The sequence below is a fragment of the Homo sapiens genome, chromosome 11 (genome assembly GCF_000001405.40).
Source record: "Homo sapiens chromosome 11, GRCh38.p14 Primary Assembly".
NCBI lineage: Eukaryota > Metazoa > Chordata > Mammalia > Primates > Hominidae > Homo > Homo sapiens.
Genome location: NC_000011.10, coordinates 45,907,449 through 45,929,228, shown reverse-complemented (window position 1 = coordinate 45,929,228; position 21,780 = coordinate 45,907,449). Strand labels below are relative to the sequence as shown.

At 59.0% G+C, this 21,780-nt stretch overlaps 2 protein-coding genes across 24 annotated transcripts, besides 5 other annotated features; one reads left to right on the top strand and one right to left on the bottom strand.

Annotated features, from left to right (window-relative positions):
• Positions 1–132: 132 nt before the first annotated feature.
• On the bottom strand, positions 133–7,608 carry LARGE2 (LARGE xylosyl- and glucuronyltransferase 2). Of its 19 annotated transcripts, none has more exons than NM_001300722.2 (15): positions 7,536–7,608; positions 6,265–6,408; positions 6,062–6,171; positions 5,674–5,756; positions 4,952–5,075; positions 4,552–4,723; positions 4,340–4,444; positions 3,078–3,190; positions 2,882–3,007; positions 2,632–2,787; positions 2,358–2,518; positions 1,636–1,914; positions 1,160–1,309; positions 857–1,052; positions 133–599 (listed from the first exon to the last, which is right to left on the bottom strand). In NM_001300722.2, exons 2-15 carry the CDS (start codon positions 6,344–6,346, stop codon positions 384–386), a joined length of 2,073 nt encoding a protein of 690 aa, NP_001287651.1. In that variant the 5' UTR covers positions 6,347–6,408; positions 7,536–7,608; the 3' UTR covers positions 133–383. The 19 variants fall into 19 exon arrangements, with proteins under 19 accessions (NP_001287651.1, XP_047282304.1, XP_011518191.1 ...); XM_047426348.1 differs by lacking the exon at positions 7,536–7,608 and adding an exon at positions 6,501–6,573 and having other exon boundaries at positions 133–697; XM_011519889.2 differs by lacking the exon at positions 7,536–7,608 and adding an exon at positions 6,501–6,573 and having other exon boundaries at positions 133–644.
• Positions 6,454–6,673: a silencer, noted in NCBI's record as "silent region_3292". NCBI's record gives its function as "represses an Ori minimal core promoter by ATAC-STARR-seq in GM12878 lymphoblastoid cells {active_cell/tissue: GM12878}" and the evidence as "EXISTENCE:reporter gene assay evidence [ECO:0000049][PMID:35858748]".
• PEX16 (peroxisomal biogenesis factor 16) lies at positions 10,407–19,566 on the top strand. 5 transcript variants are annotated; one of them, XM_047427886.1, is made up of 12 exons: positions 10,407–11,107; positions 11,736–11,771; positions 12,088–12,255; positions 12,926–13,002; positions 13,393–13,526; positions 13,661–13,761; positions 14,545–14,625; positions 14,761–14,913; positions 15,026–15,098; positions 15,291–15,410; positions 18,267–18,331; positions 18,917–19,566. In XM_047427886.1, exons 3-12 carry the CDS (start codon positions 12,231–12,233, stop codon positions 18,973–18,975), a joined length of 888 nt encoding a protein of 295 aa, XP_047283842.1. In that variant the 5' UTR covers positions 10,407–11,107; positions 11,736–11,771; positions 12,088–12,230; the 3' UTR covers positions 18,976–19,566. The 5 variants fall into 5 exon arrangements, with proteins under 5 accessions (XP_047283842.1, XP_047283844.1, XP_047283843.1 ...); XM_047427887.1 differs by lacking the exon at positions 10,407–11,107 and adding an exon at positions 11,352–11,529; XM_047427888.1 differs by lacking the exon at positions 12,088–12,255.
• Positions 11,528–11,597: an enhancer, noted in NCBI's record as "active region_4672". NCBI's record gives its function as "activates an Ori minimal core promoter by ATAC-STARR-seq in GM12878 lymphoblastoid cells {active_cell/tissue: GM12878}" and the evidence as "EXISTENCE:reporter gene assay evidence [ECO:0000049][PMID:35858748]".
• Positions 11,528–12,296: a biological region, named in NCBI's record as "H3K27ac-H3K4me1 hESC enhancer GRCh37_chr11:45938484-45939236".
• Positions 11,544–12,296: an enhancer, noted in NCBI's record as "H3K27ac-H3K4me1 hESC enhancer chr11:45938484-45939236 (GRCh37/hg19 assembly coordinates)". NCBI's record gives its function as "activates a minimal SCP1, AML or CMV promoter by ChIP-STARR-seq in naive H9 embryonic stem cells {active_cell/tissue: H9 hESC(naive)}" and the evidence as "EXISTENCE:reporter gene assay evidence [ECO:0000049][PMID:30033119]".
• Positions 20,690–21,635: an enhancer, noted in NCBI's record as "H3K27ac-H3K4me1 hESC enhancer chr11:45929145-45930090 (GRCh37/hg19 assembly coordinates)". NCBI's record gives its function as "activates a minimal SCP1, AML or CMV promoter by ChIP-STARR-seq in primed H9 embryonic stem cells {active_cell/tissue: H9 hESC(primed)}" and the evidence as "EXISTENCE:reporter gene assay evidence [ECO:0000049][PMID:30033119]".

Sequence of the window (21,780 nt, the reverse complement as noted above, 5' to 3'; positions counted from 1 at the left end):
GGGGGGCGGGGGGGTGCTTGCCCTTAAGGGCCCAGGCCCTCCTGTGACCCCAGCTGGATGTAGCACCTCCCTTGTGCACTGACGCCCTAGCCCCAGAGTGCCCTTGCTCCCCCAAACCAGGAACACAAAAAAGATGTTTTAAAACTTTAATTATGAAAAAGGGATAAACAATTCAAGATGGGGGAACCAGCCCCAAACTGGCTGGGGCAGAGAGAGACCAGTCCCCAGCCATACAATAGCAGCAAGGGGAAGACCCCACCCCACAGATGCTCTGCCCCAGCCCTTCCCAGAGACCTTAAATAATTTAAATAGCAGGGATGGCGGAGGGCAGGTTGCCCTGGTGTCTGCCCAATGCTAAGATGAGGGGCAGCGCCGGCCCAGCCTCAGCCTCGGGCAGGGCTCTGGGGCTGCTGCAGGGCTGGGAGGTATTTGAGGGCAGCAGCCCCATGGTGGCGGGACAAGTCCTGGTGGAATTCGTCCTTGAGGGCCTGGAGGCAGTCACGATAGGTGGGGCTGGAGCGGAAGCGGGAGATGTCCAGGCTTGGAGCGTGGGGCAGATGGATGGTGAAGGCCTCGGGCAGCACCAGGAGCTCATATTCCTGCAGGGTGGGGCAGAGGAGCAGTGGCTGCCTGGCTTGCCTGGCCTGCGGGGAAGGTGCAGCTCCAGAGAACAGGCTTACCCTGTAGCCCCTGAGAGCTAAAGCAAGGGCCAAAGGGCAGATTATTTTAATTCCACAGAAGGGGGACATTTCTAACAGTGTTGCCTAGTGGTGTGGTCCCCCATGCAGGTGTCGTGAGTTCCCTGGACCTGGAGGTGCTCGAGTCAAAGGTGGAGGCAGCAAGGTGCCCTCCTCACCTGGGCATCCAGCTCCACAATGTGGGCCACTTTGTTCCAGCCGAAGCCCACAAAGCGAGGATCATAGCGGGGACAGTCTCGTGGCACCACCACGTAGGGTTCATAGTTGGCCGCCCATTGCACACGGTACGGGGCCTGAGCCTCCCGCCAGCGGGCATAGTCTGTGGGTGCGTGGCCTCGGGGCCACTCGTGGTACCTGTGCAGCAGGGTCGGGTGGGAGCCAGGCTGAGGCTAGGAGCTCGTGGGTAGTGGGGGCCAGTGTGGGCAAGTGAGTGGAGTGGGCAGAGAAGTAGCCTCTCCTACCTGAAGGTGTAGAGAGTGCCCGCATCCAGCAAGGCCAACAGCTCCACCTTGGAATGGGGGAAGCTGAAGCGGTAGCGCAGGGTCTCGAATGCCGGCACCACCAGTGCTGCCTTGCGCCGGCTGCCCAGCCCCAGCTGCTCAATGGAGGCCCTGAGGAGGAGCACCCATGAGCAGGGGAGAAGAGCGGGGCATCTAGGACTGGGCCAGTGACACTCATCAGGGCATTAGCCACAGGACTAGACCACCATGGGCCATCTTGCCTGATGCGACGGGTGGGCACAACCACAGGTGGAGCTGCTGTTGAAGCCGGCCCTGGCCTCCCTGTTGACAGCCCAGAGAAACAGCCTAATACAAACCCCAATTGACAGAGGCCACTGAGGCCCAGAAAGGAGCAGGGACATGGAAGCCTGGGGTCCCACGCATGCCCCGTCCACGTCCACCCCATATATTGTTCCCCTCTCTGCCTGCAGGCCCACCTGAGGTAGTCGTAGAGAGAATAGGCAGGCAGGAAGTCAATGTCACTGAGGAAGACGTAAGGCGTGAGGGCCTGGGCCAAGGCCACGTTGCGAAGCTGGTTGACGGGGTATAGGGGCCCCTCACGGTACACCACATGGTAGGCCACGTCCTGCCGGGCAGCAAGCACTGGTGAGGCCTCGACGAAATGCAGGAACTGCTGAGCTTCTGCGTCTGTCAGGTACAAGGCCAGGCTCATGGGGCCAGGCCAGTGCCTGCACAGGGCTTCCAACATCTGCAGCCTATGGGGAGAGGGAGGTCAGCACAGCTCTGCCCCTCTTGCACAGGAGCTCAGGGAGGCCTGGCAAACCTCCCCAGTTAGCTGCTGCTGCCACCTCCTCAAGTGACTTACTGAGCACCCTTCAAATACTTTTAGAGCCAGTCTGATTGAATCTTCACAACTACCCCCACCAGGTGGGTACTTTCTCATTTGAGAGAGAAAACTAGGGGCCAGAGATATGAAGACTTGCTCATGGTCCCACAGCGACCGAGGGGCAGCTCCGGGCATCTGAATGACTCCAGAGCCCAAGCTCTTTCCACCATATCCAATGTCTCCAACTTCTGGAACTCCCTGAGGGACAGGTAGCTCACTACCACAGCATCAGGCTGCCAGATGGAACCTCCTCTCAGAAGTGTCCAACCCCAGCCCATGCCATACCCCCTGGGCTGCCCTCTGCACCCTCACCGGTCCATGGACAGCTGGGCCACAAGGGTGACATCGTGAGGCCGGGGGGGTGGCGGTTCATGGGGCAGGAAAGTGACATGCACACGGTGCACAGTGAGCTGCTGCTGCCGGAACTCAAAGCAGGGGTCTTCCTCGTCCAGTTGTGCCAGGGCCTGCTGCAACTGAGGGGGCAAGGGGTGACAAGGACCGGGGATAGGGCAGAACAACACATCCCCCAGACAAGGCTGGGTCCCACCAAAGCAGAGAGGGGCAGGGGAAGGTGACTCCTTCTCACCTGCTCAGCACCAGGTGGGGGCTGGCTGGGGCACACAAAGAGCTCTCTCCGCAGCAGGTTCCCATCGTACTCCAGGAAGGTCAGGTAGAAATTGCGGAAGAATTCCACATGCTTGTTCTTCACCCGAAGCTTCTTTGGTGAGTTCCAGTGGATCACCTGGGACCCAGGAGGGTGTTGGGGCCATGGGAGCAGGGAGCAGAAGTCTCCATCCATGGCCCCCCACCACCACACAGCCTCTTGTCCCACTCACCTTGAGGTCAGACGCCTCAGAGTAGCAGCGCTCGGCCAGTGTGTGATCTGACAGCTGCACATTCCAGACACAAGGCAGACGCTGCACTAGCCCCGGGTGCTCCTTGATCACAGCGTTGAAGATGTCCTGAGCAGAGACACCCATCACATCCCAGCCCCCAGCCTGCCACACCCCACCCGGCAAGGCTTCCTCAGACCTGGTCAGCCAGTGAGGTGGCAGGCAGGCTAAGGAGCTCCCGCCTGGCTGTCAGCCTCCACATCTGCTCCCAGCCAGCCTGCCGGAGCCGGTCCAGCCGCAGCAGGATCACACCTGCCAATGAAGAGATGCTGTCATGCCCACCTGGGACGACCAGCTCCTGGGGGACATGGGGGTCATGAAGGTGTCCTTTGTTTTTTGACATTGGTATTTTCTGACTGTTCAGACATGATCATGGACTACTTGTTTTTTGTTGTTGTTGTTTGTTTTGTTTTGTTTTGTTTTTTAGAGACAGGGTCTTGCTTTGTCACCCAGGCTGGAGTGGTGCAGTGGCACAATCATGACTCACTGCAGCCTCGACTTCCCAGGCTCAAGCAAACCTCCCACCTCAGCACCCCACCACAACCCCCACCGAGTAGCTGGGACTGCAGGCATGCCACCACACCTATCCTTTTTATTTATTTACTTATTTTTTATTTATTTACTTATTTATGTATGAGATAGAGTCTCACTCTATTGCCAAGGCTGGAGTACAGTGGTGTGAACTCGGCTCACTGCAACCTCTGCTTCCTGGGTTCAAGTGATTCTCCCTCCTCAGCCTCCCAAGTAGCTGGGATTACAGGTACGTGATACCACCCCTGGCTAATTTTTGTATTTTTAGTGTAGAAGGGGTTTTACCATGTTGGCCAGGTTGGTCTCGAACTCCTGACCTCAAGTAATCTGCCTGCCTCAGCCTCCCAAAGTGCTGGGATTACAGGTGTGAGCCACTGCGACTGGTCAATTTTTTAATGTTTGTAGAGACAAGGGTCTCACTATGTTGCCAAGGCTGTTCTCGAACTCCTGGGCTCAAGCGATTCTCCCACCTTAGCCTCCCAAAGTGCTGGAATTACAAGCCTGAGCCATTGCACCCAGCTTGCTCGTAGACTACTTTTGTCAATAGTCAATCCTCGGGGGTGAAGAGGAGGCGCTGTCCAGCTTACAGAGCACATCCATGGCCTTCTCACACTTGGTGATCCCAGGGCTGTTAAAATTATCCCCCATTTAATGGATGAGAAAACTGAGGCTCAGAGGGAGCACGAGAGCTGGCCAAAGTCATCCAGCACACACAGGACTGTTGGAACTGCTGTCTGTCTCTTCATCCAGGGTTCTTTTCACAGCAATGTTCTTCCTGGGGGACTTCCTAGCATTCTTTGCCCCACCCAGCCCCAGGGGCCCAAGGACCAGCAGACCACCCCGCCTGCCTCCCCTCACCACTGTCCCCACCTGTGTTAAATCCCCGGCCCAAGGCAGGCCAGGGCCTGTGGTTCTTCCAGAGGTTGCCCAGGTACCAGTCACTCTGGTTCTCCACAAGACCGATCGCCTGCGTGTCTGGGAGGGGAGGGCATAAGGGAGCTGTCTGAAGCTGCCACAGGACCTGGGCTCAGGGCTGGATGCAGGGATCCTGGGCAGGCCAGGCAGGCTCCCAGGCCTCTCACCAGAAAAGTGAGCAAAGAGGGCCCAGAGCTCCGAGATGTCAGAGGCGAAGGTGACATCCGTGTCCAGGACAATGACGCGGGCCAGCTCAGCAGGCAAGGCACTGGGCAGCACCAGCTTCATTAGCCCATAGAGGCCGGAGTAGTGCTTGTTGGGGATCCAGGAGACCTGGGGCTGTGTGGGGGAAAGGCAGGAGATGAGATGGCAGAGAGGGGCCTATGAGCACCAGAACACATGCTTGCAGTGACACAGAGGAGAGGGGGTAAACCCCCAAAAGAGAGGGGTTTGCGCTTCAGTAGGTGGAGGGGGGACTGATGATTCTCTTCTCCAACCCCACCAGGTCTTGGAGAGAGGAGAGCGGTGGACACAGCTGAGGGGAGGGGGGAAGGGCTGGGCCCCTGCCTTGAGCTGGTCGGCATGATAAAAGCTGACACGGACAGCAGGCACCATCCATGTGTGGAAGAGCGTCTCCAGGATGTTTCTGGCCACGGCGTCAGTCACCAAGTGGAGGTGCAGTGGATTTTTCCTTTTGGGTGGGCAAAGAGGAAGCCTGAGAGGCCCCAGCAGGAGCAACATGGGACAGCCCCCACCCCGAGGGGCGCAGAGATGGAAGCGCCATCTGCAAAGAGCTTTTCCACGCCCGGCTCAGGATGTTCTTTTTTTTTTTTTTTTTTTTTTTTTTTTTTTTTTTTTTGAGACGGAGTCTCGCTCTGTCGCCCAGGCTGGAGTGCAGTGGCGGGATCTCGGCTCACTGCAAGCTCTGCCTCCCGGGTTCACGCCATTCTCCTGCCTCAGCCTCCCAAGTAGCTGGGACTACAGGCGCCCGCCACTACGCCCGGCTAATTTTTTGTATTTTTAGTAGAGACGGGGTTTCACCGTTTTAGCCGGGATGGTCTCGATCTCCTGACCTCGTGATCCGCCCGCCTCGGCCTCCCAAAGTGCTGGGATTACAGGCGTGAGCCACCGCGCCCGGCAGGATGTTCTTACAACTGCCCTTCTAAGGGAGGAAGGGGACACTGTCCCCGCGTCACAGATGAGGAAGCTGAAGCTCTGAGACCAGCAGCCTGTCCCGGGCTTTGTCCCTTCCCCACTCCTGACCCTCCTCCACGGACACCTGGCTGTACCTGTAGAAGAGCATGGACTTCACCAGGGTGATGACGTCTCGGCTGGAGTTATGCCCCGCACACACGATGGCCACATGCAAGAGCTGGGGAGGGACGCCCAGGTCGGCAGCAGCCCCCCTTCTCCGCTAGGCGGTGAGGACCCATGTTGAGCTGCCCCACCCCGCAGCAGAGCCCGGAACAGTGTGCGGAGGGGGCAGCAGGAGCCAACCCTTCATTTCAAATGGGGAAATGAGGTCGGGAGCAGAGGAGCTGCACGTTCGAGGTGCGCCCCAGCCGGCTGGCCAGTGCTGGACAGACGCCAGGTACTGTGATTCCCGCAGATGTCCAAGAGGCCGGGCTCGGGGGCGGCGCCCCCAGGACTCCCGCCGCCAGGGCCGCGCGCACCTACCTCGCACTTGGGCGGCGGCGGCGGCTGCGGGCCGCAGTCGGAGCGGTTGTGGTCCCCGGGGCCGGCCCCCGGGTCTCCGTCGAGGGCGGCGGCTCTCCGCAGCCTCCCGTCTGGGGGGACACGTGGCATGAGCGGGCCGGGGAAGCATCCCGGGGCCCCCGCTCGCCCGCCAGGCTCGCGGCGCTCACACCCCAGGTCCCCACCGAACAGGAGGAATCCGAGCAGCAGCAGCAGCAGCAACAGCGCGGCGGCCCCCAGCGCCCGGGGGCGCCCTCGGGGCAGCATGGCCGCCGACGGGGGCGCTCAGGGAGGGACGCGACCCGGGGCTGCAGGCTCCATCGCAGGCCCTGCGGACCGAGGGGCGAGATGGGAGACTCAGCCCTGGGCGGCGGGGCCCGACGGCCGGGTTGTGCGGCTCGCGCCGAGCCACCTCCCTCACCTGCTCCAGCGGCTCCCGGGCTGGGCCCTGCGCTCGCAGCCGCCGGCCAGGGTGCGGGAACCAGGGGAGAGGCGCGGGCCGGTCCCGCCCCCGACCTGGGCTCAGGTTTCACCTCAGCGGGGCTGAGCGCGAAGGGGCGGGGTGACCCCCCCGGGGTCCTGGCCCCGCCCCTTGGGCCGGCATCCGACGGTTCCCCAGCCCGCGAGGAGCCCCCGAAGCCCCCTTCTGGGCTGAGTTTCCCACCAGGACGAGGGGAGGGCTGGGGGAGCGGGAGCAGCCACCCGCGAAGGCCCGGGCCCCGCTACCTGCCCTGACCCCCTGCCCTGCCCCCGCTCTGGGGCCGCGTCTCCTCCCCTCACTCCCCAAGGGGAGGGGCCAGTGTCCCCGGGCCCGGGATCAAAGACACTGCGGGAGCTCGACACGAGGGAGGAGGAGGGGGCCGGAATGCAGGCCGCAGGGTCTGGGACACCTGCTCTGGGGACAGGGGCGGAGCCGGCCGACACCTGCGCCAGAGCCGCGGAGCACCTGAAGCCTTCGCCTCACTCCCCCACTCTCAGTCCAGGTGGCCCGGCCGGGCCCTGCCGGCGCCGCCAGGACAAAGCGCCCTTGTGAAGGCCGCCTCCCGCCCGGGAGCTGGCGAGGGGCCCCAGACGCGGGCGGCCTAGGCTGCCTGGGCAGGGCCGGGGATCCCCACTCTTGTCCAGATCGTCGTGATTGTGCCCGGGCGCACCGGCCTGGAGCTCGTCTTTCCTCCCTCTCCCCCGCGCACCCCATAGCAGGCCAGGGAATGGGTGGGGGGCGCTCTGGACCCTAAACCAGCACAGCGTGCCAGGCCCTGTGCTAAGGATTTAATCACCCTCGATTAATCCCATGATGCGGGCTAATTCTCCCCCGGAGAGTTTAAGTGACCTGTTAGACAAGAACACCCTCCGGCCCCTCCCGTCTCAAGCGGCCCCACTCCGTTCCCCAGGCTCTGCGCTGCAGAAGCAGCTTTCTTGCTCCTCCTCCGGAAGGGTCTCCCGCCCCAGGACTTGCCCTTGACGTTCCTTCTGGCAGCGGAGCCTCCCAGGGCTGGCTAGCACTCATGGAAAGTTGAAGTTGTTTGCTTGTTTATTGCAGGTCTCCCTCCCAGAATGTAAGCTGCTCACCGGACTGGAACCTTGTCTGTCCAGTCCCCAGTGCCCAACCAGGGCCTGCACATACCAAGTGCTCAATACCTGTTGAAAGTGGATTGGAATGAGAATCTCCCCTCCCATGACCTGGAAAGGGGGCTCAGGCTGTGTCATTTGCCCAACTTCTGGCTGCAAAAAGTGAGGCAAACTCAAAAGAAGCTGTGGAAAGCAGCCCAACCTGAGACCCCCTTTCTCTGGGAGATGGGGAAGGTCAGGCTTTGGGTCTCTGGAGGGCAGGGATAATGGTTGCTATGGAGACTGATGGTGGCTCCTTGTGCACCCAGAAATTGAGAAGGGCCATGCACTGGCCACTCAGGCGTCTGGAGCTTGAGCCTCCAGCCTCCCTGATCTTCATCTGTAGCCTAAAGCTGGGGTGGGGAAATGTGATTCCCTCTCCAGGACCCTCAACAGAGACGGTTTGTGGGGGTTAAACATGTGAGACCAGGCCAGAACAGTGGCTTATGCCTGTAATCCCAGCACTTTGGAAGGCCAAGGCAGGTGGATTGCTTGAGCCCAGGAATTTGAGACTAGCCTGCTCAATGCGGCCAAACTGTATGACTGCAAAAAATACAAAAATTGCTGGGCGTGGTGGCATGTGCCTAGTACTTGGGAGGCTGAGGTAGGAGGACTACCTGAACCCAGGAGGTCAAGCCTGCTGTGAGTTGTAATCACACCACTGCACTCCAGCCTGGGTGACAGAGTGAGACCTTGTCTCTAAAAACAAACAAACACCATATGGGATCCATAGTTGGGTGCTGGCCCAGGATGAGTCTTCAATAAAGGGGCTGGGGGAGTCAGTGCAGGAAGCTGGGTCTGCAGATCTCACTGTAGTCACTCACAATGTTGGCCCTTCTTCTGGCTCAACCTCACCACTCAGGGAAACTGAAGTGCTGAGATACCTGCTAGGCCCCCAAGGGGTTGTTCTGGGGGCGTGGAGGGAGAAAGAGGGACACGTATGGGCATATAAACAGGTGCTGTTCCTCTTGGCCTAAGACCCATTTTGACCCAGCTCTGCCCAGGACTTTGCTGTGTGACCCTATTAGACGAGTGAGGCTCCATCTCTGGGCCTCTGGTACTCTCGTAGGTAAATGTTGGACTGGTCTACCTCTCTTCCCCTGTGACTTGGGGCAAACTGAAGGAGAGAGGATACGGCTCAATCTGCCCAAAGGTCCTTCCAGCCCAACAAAGACGGCCAAGCCCAGGCAGGGGGCCAGGGAGCAGGGGAGGGGCCTCCTGCACACACCGCAACTCTTTGTCTCTGGGCCCTAATCCGGCCTGGGATCTAGAGAGGAAATTCAGGCAGCCCTGCTGCTGCCAAGCTGGCTAGACCCATGCTCCCCTTCCCAGTTCTGCAGGGAGGGAGAAGAAACTGGTTCCAGCCCAAGCCCCTTCCTATTCTGTCCTGGGGAGTCTGCCCCTCTCCCCTCCACACCTTGCTCTCAGAATCAGGACCTCCAGCCCAAGGAGTGCTGAAGAACCTCAAATTCTCTCTCTGTACCCTCTCCACAGCTGCAGAGGGAGGGCTGGAGGAGTGGCCAAACTGGAGGTTTGAGGAACAAGTTCACTAAGGTGTTGGTGCACAGCAGGGCCCTGCAGGGCTCAGTGGCTCACACCTATAATCCCAGCACTTTAGGAGGCTGAGGTAAGCGGATCACCTGAGGTCAGAAGTTCGAGACCAGCCTGGCCAACATGGCGAAACCTCGTCTCTACTAAAAATACAAAAATTAGTCAGGCGTGGTGGCGGGCGCCTGTAGGCCCAGCTAATCGGGAGGCTGAGGCAGGAGAATTGCTTGAACCTGGGAGGCAAAGTTTGCAGTGAGCTGAGATTGCACCATTGCACTCCAGCCTGGGCGACAGTGAGACTCCGTCTCAAAAACAAACAAACAAACAAACAAAAAACAAGGTGGGGCAGAGGAAGGGAGAAGGAGCCTCACCTTGAGGGCCCTGAGCCTAGGTCCTAATCCCAGTTGCTAACTGGCCTTATGACCAAGGAGCCTCAACATGTCACAGCTTTTGTGGGCTGTGGGCAGTAGGAGAGAGGGCACTGCCACTGGAGACCTGCGCTGTGGCCTCTTTGGCCAGTGCCTTGCTGTGCCATGTGGGACAAATCCTTTCCCCTCCTTATTGGGCCCTAATTTCCCATCTGTGAACAGTTCATAGCAACTTGGGGCTGCTGGGAGGAGGGCAAGCAAGCCTGGAACCCAGAGCGTGGCCAGAAATGATGTCGACGATGCCCATGACCACCTCCTCTGTTCTCCAAGACCTTTGCCTCTCCTCAGGCCCCTGGTCACCTTTCCCTGGGTCTTCGTTCTTTGATGTGAGAAGAGGGCAGCTTTAATCCCCCACCTGATAGAGAAGAAAACTAAGCTGTGGAGTAGGGTGGAGTGAGGGAGTGGAAGGAAGGTTGTGGTTTCCTGGTGAGGTGTGATGCTTAGACCTGGTCTCTAAAAATAAAATTAAAGTTAAAAAAAATGAATTAAAAAAAACCGCCTAGTCTCTGAGGTCAGAAAAGACCAACACTCAAATTTTGGCTGGGCGTTCTTAAAAGGATGCTTTCTTCATCTGGAGATATCTGGTGGAGAGGATTAGGTAAAATAATGTATTACTATTCTCAGGGTACCATAAATCCGCTGGCCCGCTCCCTCAGGCCACTGGCCCACGGCTCCACCCATGTCACGCCCCTTTCCCCGCAGCCAATCAGCGCTACCTCCCCAGAGCGCCCGTTCCCTCCACCACTCGCCGCAGATCTCCCGGTGCCACCCGTTCCAGGGAGGCTGCTTGGTTTGGGAAGATACTCCCCAGGGGTCTCCCCTTCCCTTGGGGGCGCAGCTGAGGACTGCGAGGTGCGTCCGAGGGCCAGAAAGCTGAGATCGATTCTGAGTTCAAGGATCAAGTCTGCCCTCAAACCATTTTACAGATCGGGAAATCCGAGACCCAGAGAAGGGATACTCCCGCCCAAGGGCCACCGAGCCGAGAGAAGCCCGGGCCAGGGCTTTCTTCGCGTATGTGGGAATGCAGGCGCGAGCCCTTTGGGGGGCACAGTCCATACGGGAGCTGAGGCCGAAGCCGGAGCACTAACTGTGCTGTCTAGGGGATCGAGACGGCACTAGAGGGCTGGACTCCTTACTGCCTCAGTTTCCCCAGCACTACCTTTGTTGAGGAAACGGAGATGGGGATACTGGCCGAACGCGCGCCTGCTGAGACACAGTGCAACTGTATTTAGACGCCCCGCACCTCCCCAAATCTGATCGAGGCTCCTTTTTTCAAGCACCCGCTATCTCTCAGCCCTTTAAAATCCGGCCCTGCCGTTCGAGTCTCTCGGCGTTCCATTGGAAAGACTCGGGGCTCCAGCTCCCTTCTCTAGAATGAACTGCTCTGACTGCCGCCCGGCTTTACCGGAGCTTTAACTGCGCAGGCGCAAGGGCAGCCAACCCGGTAAACGGAAGAGCTGGGTGCTGACGGCGCTGGGCGGGTCAGGGGCGGAGAGCGTGCTAACCAATGACTTGAGGGAGTAGGGGGCCGGGTTTGGGCCCTCAGTTGCTAAGGGCTACCCGAGTGGGAAGCGGTTCAAGAGATGGGGTGAAGGGTGGTTCACCGGTTCTTCAAGTCCTCAGCCTTCTGGCCCGCGGAAGTTAAGCAACCAAGAGGCGGGCCTAAGACCGGAAGCAGGAAGGAGGGCGCAGGAAGCAGGGCGCCGCAGCCTGTCGTACGGTCCTTCTGTGGGTCTGTCGGTGCCGAGGGCAGGATGGAGAAGCTGCGGCTCCTGGGCCTCCGCTACCAGGAGTACGTGACTCGTCACCCGGCCGCCACGGCCCAGCTGGAGACAGCAGTGCGGGGCTTCAGTTACCTGCTGGCAGGTGCCACCCTGACCTTTGATCAGTTCCTTCTGGGCCCTGACCTATGACCCCAGTGGCCCCCTTCCCTGCGGAGTCAGGGTAGTGATCGCTGTGCTTGAGAAGACCCGTCCAGGTTCCCAAAGGGCGTAGGGAGGGGATTTCCGGGACCCGAAGACGAAATGTGAGGCAGATGCTCACTCACACCTCCTTCTGTACCCTCTCCCCAGGTCGATTCGCCGATTCGCACGAGCTGTCAGAGCTGGGTGAGCCGGGCTCTGGGGGTGGGGGATGGGGGATCGGCTGCCTGGCCCCTGGTGAGTTCCCCAGAGAGGGTGAGCACCCCAGCCCGAGGACCTGGGCTGCCCGTTAGACACCTTGTGCTATGACTGAATCGGCACAAGGTCTGTTGTTCATTGTCCTGGGCCCTCCATGTCCCTAAGTCAAGAGACACGTCTGGGGACCTTATCTGAGTATTCACTACTGGCCAGGCGCTGGACTAAGTGCCTTTCTTACCTTTACTTGTTAATCCTCCCTACAGTCATATTAAGTGGTACTTATTGTCATCACTGTCCATTTAAGGAAGAAGCTCAGTGAGGTTAGAGAACAGTCACTGATGGTCCCAGAACCAAGATTCAAGTCTAGATCTCCCAGATTCCAGGATTCCCAGATTGTAACTACCTCAAGAGTGTTTGCCCAGTGACTGCTGTCACAGTCCTGAAAGAATGCACTGGGTTTTGAAAAGCAGAGGTGAGGCCAGGTGCAGTGGCTCACACTTGTAATCCCAGCACTTTGGGAGGCAGAGGCAGGTGGATCACGTGAGGTCAGGAGTTCGAGACCAGCCTGGCCAACATGGTGAAACCCCATCTCTACTAAAAATACAAAAATTAGCTGGGCATGGTAGCAGGTGCCTGTAGTCCCAGCTACTTGAGAGGCTGAGGCAGGAGAATTGCTTGAACCTGGGAGGCAGAGGTTGCAGTGAGCCGAGATTGTGCCATTGCACTCCAGCCTGGGCAACAAGAGTGAAACTCCGACTCAGAAAAAAGAAAAGTGGAGGTGGAATAGACCCTCAGGAACAGGCTGCCAAGAGAGAAAGGGCCAGGAGGTGGGACCGTGTATCTGTGGCAGTTCAGAGAGCGATGGGCAGTTGTGGGCAGCTGGATGACCAGTGCCATCCAGCAGGGCAGTAACTGGCTTGTCACTGAGATTGACCCATCCTTTCTTGGTCCAGCCACCCTTGTGAGATCATGTTGGGGAGAGGGGAGTGCTGAGGAAGTGGGTGGAGAAGAAGGTTGGTTTCCACATAGTCTGTGGGTGTCTGAGCAGAGCATGTGACAGGTGATCCCTGCAGCTCTGGGGAGAAGGTGAGAGGGATGGAGGCTGCAGAGCCAGCCTCTCAAGGCCACTCTCTACCCCTCAGTGTACTCTGCCTCTAACCTGCTTGTGCTGCTCAATGACGGGATCCTACGGAAGGAGCTTCGGAAAAAGTTGCCTGTGGTGAGAATTCTGCCAAGAACAGGGTGGGAAGCATGGGGACTCAGGAATGAAATAGTAGCAGCTAGCCCATGCGTGCAGCACATGTCTCATGGAGTATGAGACAGGCCTATGTCCATCTGAGCCTCAAACCATCTCATTAGGTGACCTGTAAAGTGTGAGTATTCCCATCTTAGATGAAGAGACTGTCTCAGGTGAAGAGAGGTAGAGTCAGCTGTTTCAGGTCCCCCAGCCTGTTAATGGTGGAGTTGGTGTTTGAACTCACACCTGCACAGTTAGGCTTGGAAAGGGGAAGGTCCACATCTCTTGTCAGAGAAGCTCCCTCCTAGGAGAAGGGCCTGGGACTCCCTGTAGTCCCAGGCCCCCTGACTTCTTGGCCTGGGGTTCTTGCAGTCGCTGTCCCAGCAGAAGCTGCTGACATGGCTGAGCGTGCTGGAGTGCGTGGAGGTGTTCATGGAGATGGGAGCTGCCAAGGTGTGGGGTGAAGTGGGCCGCTGGCTTGTCATCGCCCTCGTCCAGCTGGCCAAGTAGGTTGGGATTGTGGAGAGGGTCCTGGGTGGGGGTGACGCAGGCTAGCTACACAGATGGTGCTCAGCAGAGCATCCCTGGCCTCCCGCCGGCTAGCCACCTCCCCACAACCCTGACATACTCCCCGACCCAGGGCTGTACTGCGGATGCTCCTGCTGCTCTGGTTCAAGGCTGGCCTCCAGACTTCACCCCCTATCGTTCCACTGGACAGAGAGACCCAGGCACAGCCCCCGGGTGAGCTACTTCCCCAAGCCCTGGAGCGGAATGGGCCATGGGACTAACTTGAGGATTTAGATCCAACCAGCATGAATACAGTAGTATCTGTTTATGGAGCACGCCTGTCCCTATCAACTATGTGTTCTCATTGCCATGTATTCGACAGAGAAGACAATGATGCGGCTAGGGACAAAATCAGAACACGAACCCAGTACTTGTCATGGCCAGAGTCATTCATTTTTGTAGCCTGCAGGAAGAGGGAACAGATGGGATGCCGCCAACCTCGACTCTGAGCCTGGTTCTGTGTCCAGAACCATAGCCTCTAGAGGCAGGAGGCAGGGCACGCACCACATCTGTCCCTTCAGGGCTTTGGGCCCATCCCGTCAGCTTCTGGGCCTCACTCTCTGGACATTGAGTTGGGGCCGTTCATTGCCTCTCATCATGATTGTTTTGAAGGCAAAGGATTGAGAGGAGACGGCCCCTCTGGTGCTGTGGTCTCCATAGATGTGGTCAGGCTGGGCCTTCCCTGCCTTGCCTGTCCATGGGTTCCGGGAGGCTGGCTCTGGCCACAGCTATGCTGAGCTTTCCCCAGGCTAGGGAGGGCTGCAGAGTGCTTTCCTCTGTGGACGGGTCTTGTGCTGAGCCGCCACCCTGCTTGTAGTTCCCTTGACTCAGCTGTTGCCATAGTACAAGCTCATCTGTTCTCCCCTTAGCTCCTGAGCATTCACTGCACACGTTCTTTGCAGGCTCCGCTGGAAGCATGTCCCTCTGACTGTATGGCCTTCTGTCTATCCCTGCTAGATGGTGACCACAGCCCTGGCAACCATGAGCAGTCCTACGTGGGGAAGCGGTCAAACCGGGTGGTGCGAACCCTCCAGAACAGTAAGTGGAGGATGTGGCTGGCCTGGGCACCTAGGTGCTGTCTGCCTGGGCTTGAGGGACTGGCTTTGGTCAGCAGCCACCTTCCCCTGCCCCAGCCTGGGCCTGGCTCGCTCATCTGCCGCCCTTGTGTTCTAGCGCCGTCCCTGCACTCCAGGCACTGGGGAGCTCCCCAGCAGCGGGAGGGACGGCAGCAGCAGCATCACGAGGAGCTGAGTGCGACCCCCACCCCCCTGGGGCTGCAGGAGACCATCGCAGAGTTTTTGTACATTGCCCGGCCGCTGCTGCACTGTATCCTTAGCGCGGGGCAGGATAGGGCTGGCACTGTGGGCTGGGGATTGAGTGGGGAGTGTGCTGAGCAAGGCCCCTGTGCTGGAGACATCCTTGACGCCTTGGCCGTCAGTGCTCAGCCTGGGCCTGTGGGGTCAGAGGTCGTGGAAACCCTGGCTCTTGGCTGGTGTTGTGGACGTGACCAGGTGAGCCTGGGCCTGCCTGGGGCTTCACTCTCCACTGGGCTTTCTGCTATAATCCTGGCCTCACATAGGCGGGGTGGCAGCGGCCCCTGCTCCTCCTGTTGCTGCCCCTCTGGACACCCAGCCCATGGCTCCTCCCCTTCCGTGGGCCTAGATCATGCCCCTGGCCCTGACCATGTCCTCCCTGCCTCCCAGCCTGAGCCTCCTGAGTGACAGAAAGGGCCTGACCCGGAGGGAGCGGCGGGAGCTGCGGCGCCGGACCATCCTGCTGCTCTACTACCTGCTGCGCTCTCCTTTCTATGACCGCTTCTCCGAGTAAGCACCCAGGACACCCTGAGCCAGGGAGAGGGCTGGCAAGCGGGCACTGGTGCTCCGGTCCCTGCTGGCGCCTTCCCTTCCCCACGCCTCATCCAGGGTTCACCAAGCACTGTGTGTTGTCCGGGTGGCAGTCACCAGATGCCAGCCCAGTCCCGCCCGCAGAGCTCTCTGGGCCATCAGGCCACTTGAGCAGGAACTTAAACATTGGTTGGCAGGAGAGGCACTGAGGGCAGGGCTGAGGGCATTGCCAGGTGGCCCACAGGGATGGCGACAGGGCGGGCGCCCATGGCCTCTAGCTCATTTCCACTTCTTCCTGCCAAATAGTTTGGCTTATCCTCACTTCTCAGAGGAGGACCTGGAGGTTCAAGGAGGTTGGGCAACTTAAAGACACCCAGCTAGCCAGTGGTAGAGCTAGATCCCAAACCCAGGATCTCCCCTGGCCTTCCCTGCCTGGCCCAGCCCCCACTCAGTCACCTGCGAGGGTCCAGAGCTCCCAGCCTGAGAGAGGCCTGCTGGGTTGAGCAGGGGGCAGCTTGGGACTAGTTCTTCCACAGGCCTGCCACTATGACTGCTTGAGGTTAGACCACAGTCTGACAGGGGGAAACCCTGTGCAGTGGCTGGGACTGTGAGGCAGACAAGGCTCCCGGGACCCCCTTTGTCTAGGACCTAATAATAGCTTAAAAACTGGCATAGGCTGGGCAGCAGTGGCTCACACCTATAATCCTAGCACTTTAGGAGGCCAAGGCAGGAGGTTGGCTTGAGGCCAGGAGTTCGAGACCAGCCTGGGCAACCCAATTCTACAAAAAAAAAAAAAAAATAATAATAATTAGCCAGACATGGTGGTGTGCGCCTGTAAGTCCTAGCTACTCAGGAAGCTGAGGCATGAGGATCAGGCCAGGAGGCTGAGGCTGCAGTGAGTTATGATCACTCCATCCCACTCTAGCCTGGGTGACAGAGTAAGTCCCTGTCTCAAAAAAACAAAACAGAAAAAAAAAAACAAAACTGGCATAGTTTAGCCAGGCACGATGCCTCACACCTGTAATCCCAACACTTTGGGAGGCCGAGGCGGGCGGATCACAAGGTCGGGAGGTAGAGACCATCCTGGCTAACATGGTGAAACCCTGTCTTTACTAAAAATACAAAAATTAGCCAGGTGTGATGGCACACGCCTGTAGTCCCAGCTATTCAGGAGGCTGAGGCAGGAGAATCGCTTGAACCCAGGAGGCAGAGGTTGCAGTGAGTCGAGATCGCGCGACTGCACTCCAGTCTGGGTGACAGAGCGAGACACTGTCTTTTTTTGTTTGTTTGTTTTTGAGATGGAGTCTGGCTCTGTTGCCTGCCTAGGCTGGAGTGTAGTGGTGCAATCTTGGCTCACTGCAAGCTCTGCCTCCCGGGTTCATGCCATTCTCCTGTCTCAACTCCTGAGTAGCTGGGACTATAGGCGCCCATTACCATGCCTGGCTAATTTTTTTTGATTTTTTAGTAGAGATGGGGTTTCACCGTGTTAACCAGGATGGTCTCGATCTCCTGACCTCGTGATCCGCCTGCCTCGGCCTCCCAAAGTTCTGGGATTACAGGCGTGAGCCACCGCGCCTGGCCTGACCCATCTTTTTTTTAAAACAGAAAAAAGAGTAAGGCTGCTCCTTCTGGACCACACCCTGGCACCTCTCTGGACCCTGCTCCCTGTCCTTTAGGGAAACAAAGGCCCGCCTTGGCCTCCTAAAGTGCTGGGATTATAGGTGGAGCCACTGCACCCAGCCAGCCTTCTTCTTTTCTTTTCTTTTGTTTTTTGGGACGGAGTTTCACTCACGTTGCCCAGGCTGGAGTGCAATGGCGTGATCTCGGCTCACCGCAACCTCTGCCTCCCGGGTTCAAGCAATTCTCCTGCCTCAGCTTCCCAAGTAGCTGGGATTACAGGTGCGCGCCACCACGCCCGGCTAATTTTGTATTTTTTAGTAGAGATGGGGTTTCTCCATGTTGGTCAGGCTCGTCTCGAACTCCTGACCACAATTGATCTGCCCGCCTTGGCCTCCCAAAGCGCTGGGATTATAGGCATGAGCCACCACACCCGGCCCCCAGGCTTCCTCTTTTCTTGCTGCTCAGACAGACATATAAGGAGTCAGGCCGCCTTCCAGATGTGTAGCCTTGGGCAAGTTATTTGATGCGCCTGTGCCTCATTTCCTCACCTGTAAGATGGGGATGATGACAGTACCCACTTTGTAGGGGTTCAGTGACTAACGCGTACAGCAGTGCGTGGGGTGTAGTAAGCACGTAGCGCTATGTATTGTCATCAGCATCCTCATCTCACCCGAGTTCCCCTGTGGAAAACCCTCCTGTCTTAAAAATCAGGGCCTTGGGCCTTGCCCCTTCCCCTGAACCAAAATGTGCCCTCTTCAGTACTGTGTCCCCTACCAAGGTCCTGACTACTCTCATTGGTGGCTTGTGAGGTTTCCATGCAGCCCAGCACTTCTGCCAGACTGGGGGGCTTCCCGAGGGCAGGGTGGGGTTGTCCTCCCTGGACCCTCCACCATACTGCCAGGGCGCTGCTCCACATGCGACCCTCTAGAGGCCTTCAGTGTTGGATGTCGGTGGAAGGGGAAAGAGGAATGGGAGGAGGTGTTGTGGGTCAGCGGCCACCCCGAAGCTGAGCTGGTGGAGGGTGGAGGCCAGAGCCAACCCCAGAGGTCTTGCCCTTGTGTACCGGGCTTTGTCCTAGCTCCCAAGAAAGTCACCTTTGTTTTCTGGAATGCGCTGCATTCGGCACGGTGGTCAGTGAAGGCCTCTGGGCCTCCTGGTTTGCAGGGACCCACCCCCACCCCACTCAGCTTGCTCCCCATTTATTGCCTCCCCCAGGGCCAGGATCCTCTTCCTGCTCCAGTTGCTGGCCGACCACGTCCCTGGCGTTGGCCTGGTCACAAGTAAGCAGGGATGGGGACGCGATGACTGTAGTGCTGGAAGGCGCATGCATGCAAGCACCTCCCTGACTCCTCTGTCTCCTTGCAATTTGATTCTTGGCACAGTCAGGAGAGGAAGTCGGGAAGTCAGGATTGGGTGGGACTGCCCCTGGGCATAGGCCAGGGTGGCCTGAGGAGCCAGGGATGGCTGGAAGGAGGGTGTCCACTGGTGGGGGGACCACATCAGCTGCCAGCTTTTTTCTGGTCACAGTATCCTGGAGCGATACGGGACCATCTCATCTTGGGGGGATTCAATGGCAGAGAAGGGGTCCACCGGGCTGCTGAGATCCTCCCTCAGCAGAGGCCCACTGGGCTTGGGTTGGGTGACTGGACCTGACTCAGGCCCCTCAGTGTCTACCCTGGCTGAGCTTCTCTGGGCCTGAGGGTCTTTGTAAATGGTGCCAGAGTCCCCTGCAGTGCTGCCTCCTGGGGGCAGGGCAAGACAGCCAGCTGGGCTGGCTCCTGGGCCGCAGGGGTGAGGTGCTGTATGTGGCGCCACAGTGCAGATTGGGGTCTGGCCTGCCCTGATGTGTCCCTCTCCCACTGCAGGGCCGCTCATGGATTACTTGCCCACCTGGCAGAAAATCTACTTCTACAGTTGGGGCTGACAGACCTCCCGGAAGGAGGGTGTGGGGAGGGGTGGGGCAGGGAGCCCCTCTTCCCTAATAAAACTGACTCCGGCAGCGTCCCAGCGTGCGGCCTCTCCGTGCCTACCGGCCAGGCCCCACACACAGCCCTGGTCGCCACCAGCGTTCCTCCCAGGACACCCTTGACTGCGCTCTCCTGTGACGATGCCACTGCAGCCCGCACCTTGTCACTGCTGGGCCAAGAAGCCTTCACTAGGAGTGGGATCCAGGCTCCTCTCCCACAGAAAGCGGTGACTTCACCTCATGGAGCCCGGGAAGCTGCTCGCCTCGGCAGCCATAGGAGCGAACACTGCTGCTCTCTCGCTGGCCCCTGGTGAGGACAGGAAGCCTGAACCCGGGTGATGGCTGAACGCTGCCCAGCGTGTCTTCTGGCTGGGGCCCTCCGTCTGCCCCTTCTCCGCAGGGCCCTGTGGCTCTGGCAGCCCCAGGCCATGGCGTTGCCAGCCTCCCTGTGACAGAGCCTGGTGAACAGTGAGCCTGGCTCCCACGCAAGTGGCACTTTAAGCCCTGCATCCTCGGTTGAGAGTAAAAGGCTTTTCTCCCTTAGAAAAAGGACATCGGGCACTGGCCAGCACTGGGGAGGGAGTGGGAGCTGGACAGGCTCGGGGAGGAAGCCGGGGCCAGTTCAGGGGGTATGAGCTGGGGTTTCCCCATGCTTGCCCTGCAGGCTCCAGAGGCCGGGTCCACCTGGAGCCATGCAAGCTGCTATGGGGGAGGGCCTGGACAGGGTGGGCCGCAGGCTGGTCGTCTTCTCCCTGAACTTAGCCTGTCCTCAGCCACTGGCCCTGTGAAGAGCCAGCCTCTCATGCTAGAGTTTCAAACCCACAGAGAGGGCTCCATCTACACCTTGGTCCTCCATGCCTCAGCTCCTCCAAGACACACTGCTTTCCCCAGGGCCCTCTGAGGAGCGCCCCCCAGGTCCTCACCCACAGGCAGGGGAAGGGGCTGCCTGGGCTCCCATGGCCTCCAGCTTAGTGGAACAGGCGTTTCTGGGCACATGCCTGGCCATCAGAAACCAGCAGTGAAGCACAGTCCCCTGCCCTCCGCCTCTCACCAACGGAGGAAACAGGCATGTGGATGCAGGCACCACACTGGGGACTTGGCAGGAGGTGGCATGTCCAGAGCGGGGTCTAGCTTGGGGGTGCCCCGGTAATGGCAACTGCCTACCTGCAGTGGTGACAGAGGTGAAGGGTTTCATCGGGCTCCATTGGCCAAGCCTTGACTCAGGCAGGCTTGAAACCGGTAGAACTGTCCAGTTTTTCGGTAGACAGCCTGCAAGGGGCCGCTGTGTGCCCAGGGTCACAGCTCTGTGGAGCCATGGGAGGTGGGAGCTGGACGCTGGAGGGGAAGGTCGGGGCCAAACTGAACATAGCATCACATATCCAGGGGAGAAACTTGGACCTGGTCTATGGTAGGCGGGGAGGGGTCTGTGTTTGTAAATATTCCAGCAGCCTGGTGGAGGATGCTTTGGTGGGCAGAGGTGGAAGAATGGGGGCCGTGACATTGGAGGCAGTGGTCTGTAGCAGTGGGAGGGGCAATGGCAGTGGCAGCAGACATAGGGAGATTAAGGGTAACCCCAGCTAGTCTTGGGGACTGGCGTGGAGGAAGAGGGTGGTGTCTAGGAGACGAGGAGCAAGAAGGACGAGGGGCTTTGGGGTTAGACAGAGTGGACAGAACTCCAGGTTCCTGGCAGGGCAAGCCTTGGTGGGCACAGGATGCTGAGGCAGGCTCGTGGAGACGTGTTGTCTCCAGGACTTATAAAGGGAGGTGGCCACTGGGAAGTGAGTGCGGGAACAACATGCAGAGGGTGACGGGGCTGAAGGAACCGCCAGAACTTGTCAGCCTCCGGTACTCAGGACCAGGAGCATGAATGAGGCCACTGGAGGAGCCAGGGTTGGAAACAAGGGACTTCCCTCCCTGGGCCCCTCAGCTGTCAGAGGAGAGCGGCTGGGCCAGCTGGCAGGTTGGCCATCTCAAGCAACTGGATTACCAAAGCTCCAGAGCCCTGGGCTCGGCCCTCAGGTTCTGATACTACAGATCTGGGGTGGGGCCAGGGATTTTGTTTTGAAGGCTTGCCATGGTTCTGGTGAGCCAGGTTCGCACTGCAGGTATAAATGGGCTGAGCCTGGCTGCTGAGTGGAGAACCAGGAGCCAGCCAGAGGCCTTCTGGTGGCACCTGCAGCTGAGCCCAGGCCTGCGAGGGGACGGTGTCCAGTGCAGGGCCGAGCTGTACAGGCTCACTGGGCGCCTACCAGGGGTCCAGGGCTGCAGATTCCAGTGAACAAAGCCCTCCCTGCCCTCCTGAAGCCTGCACTTGAGGGGCAGGTCCAGAGCTCTGCCACCATATGTCTGGAAGCCCTCCATCCAGCCTCAGGCCGCTGTAAGCTGCAGAGAGCGGAGAGGGAAAGGCCCTGAGCTGGGGACACAGGGAGCCTGCACACTCCCTCTCACGTAGACCCTGAGACAGGCAGGGCTGAGAGAGCCACTCTGGGCTCCTCAGCTGGCGGGACCTGCTCGGACCTCCTGCCATGCCAGTGGGGGTGGGGGGGGGGTGCTGTAGGAATGGCTGGGGCTCTGGGTGGTGAGGATCCCCTGCCCTCTTCGGAGGGCCTATGTCTGTAGGGTGTGTAATGGACTACGTCACAGATGAGGAAACTCCGGCACACAGAGATGAAGTGACTTGTCCGGCTAGTAAGAGGCAAGGTCAGGACCTCAACTGAGATCTGACTCCACAGTGTGTGCTCTTATTCCTTGGACAGCAACACT

What these genes read in the sequence shown, in the direction of transcription:
- PEX16 (NM_057174.3), top strand. Translation starts at nt 11,418, where the DNA reads ATGGAGAAGCTGCGGCTCCTGGGCCTCCGCTACCAGGAGTACGTGACT. An exon ending in CTTCAGTTACCTGCTGGCAG is followed by an intron (nt 11,530 to 11,735) that starts GTGCCACCCTGA and finishes CCCTCTCCCCAG; the next exon opens with GTCGATTCGCCGATTCGCAC. An exon ending in TGCCCGGCCGCTGCTGCACT is followed by an intron (nt 14,914 to 15,025) that starts GTATCCTTAGCG and finishes CTTGGCCGTCAG; the next exon opens with TGCTCAGCCTGGGCCTGTGG.
- LARGE2 (XM_047426344.1), bottom strand. Translation starts at nt 6,346, where the DNA reads ATGCTGCCCCGAGGGCGCCCCCGGGCGCTGGGGGCCGCCGCGCTGTTG. An exon ending in TCTCTCTACGACTACCTCAG is followed by an intron (nt 1,481 to 1,635) that starts GTGGGCCTGCAG and finishes GGCTGTCAACAG; the next exon opens with GGAGGCCAGGGCCGGCTTCA. An exon ending in TTGTGGAGCTGGATGCCCAG is followed by an intron (nt 600 to 856) that starts GTGAGGAGGGCA and finishes CCCACCCTGCAG; the next exon opens with GAATATGAGCTCCTGGTGCT.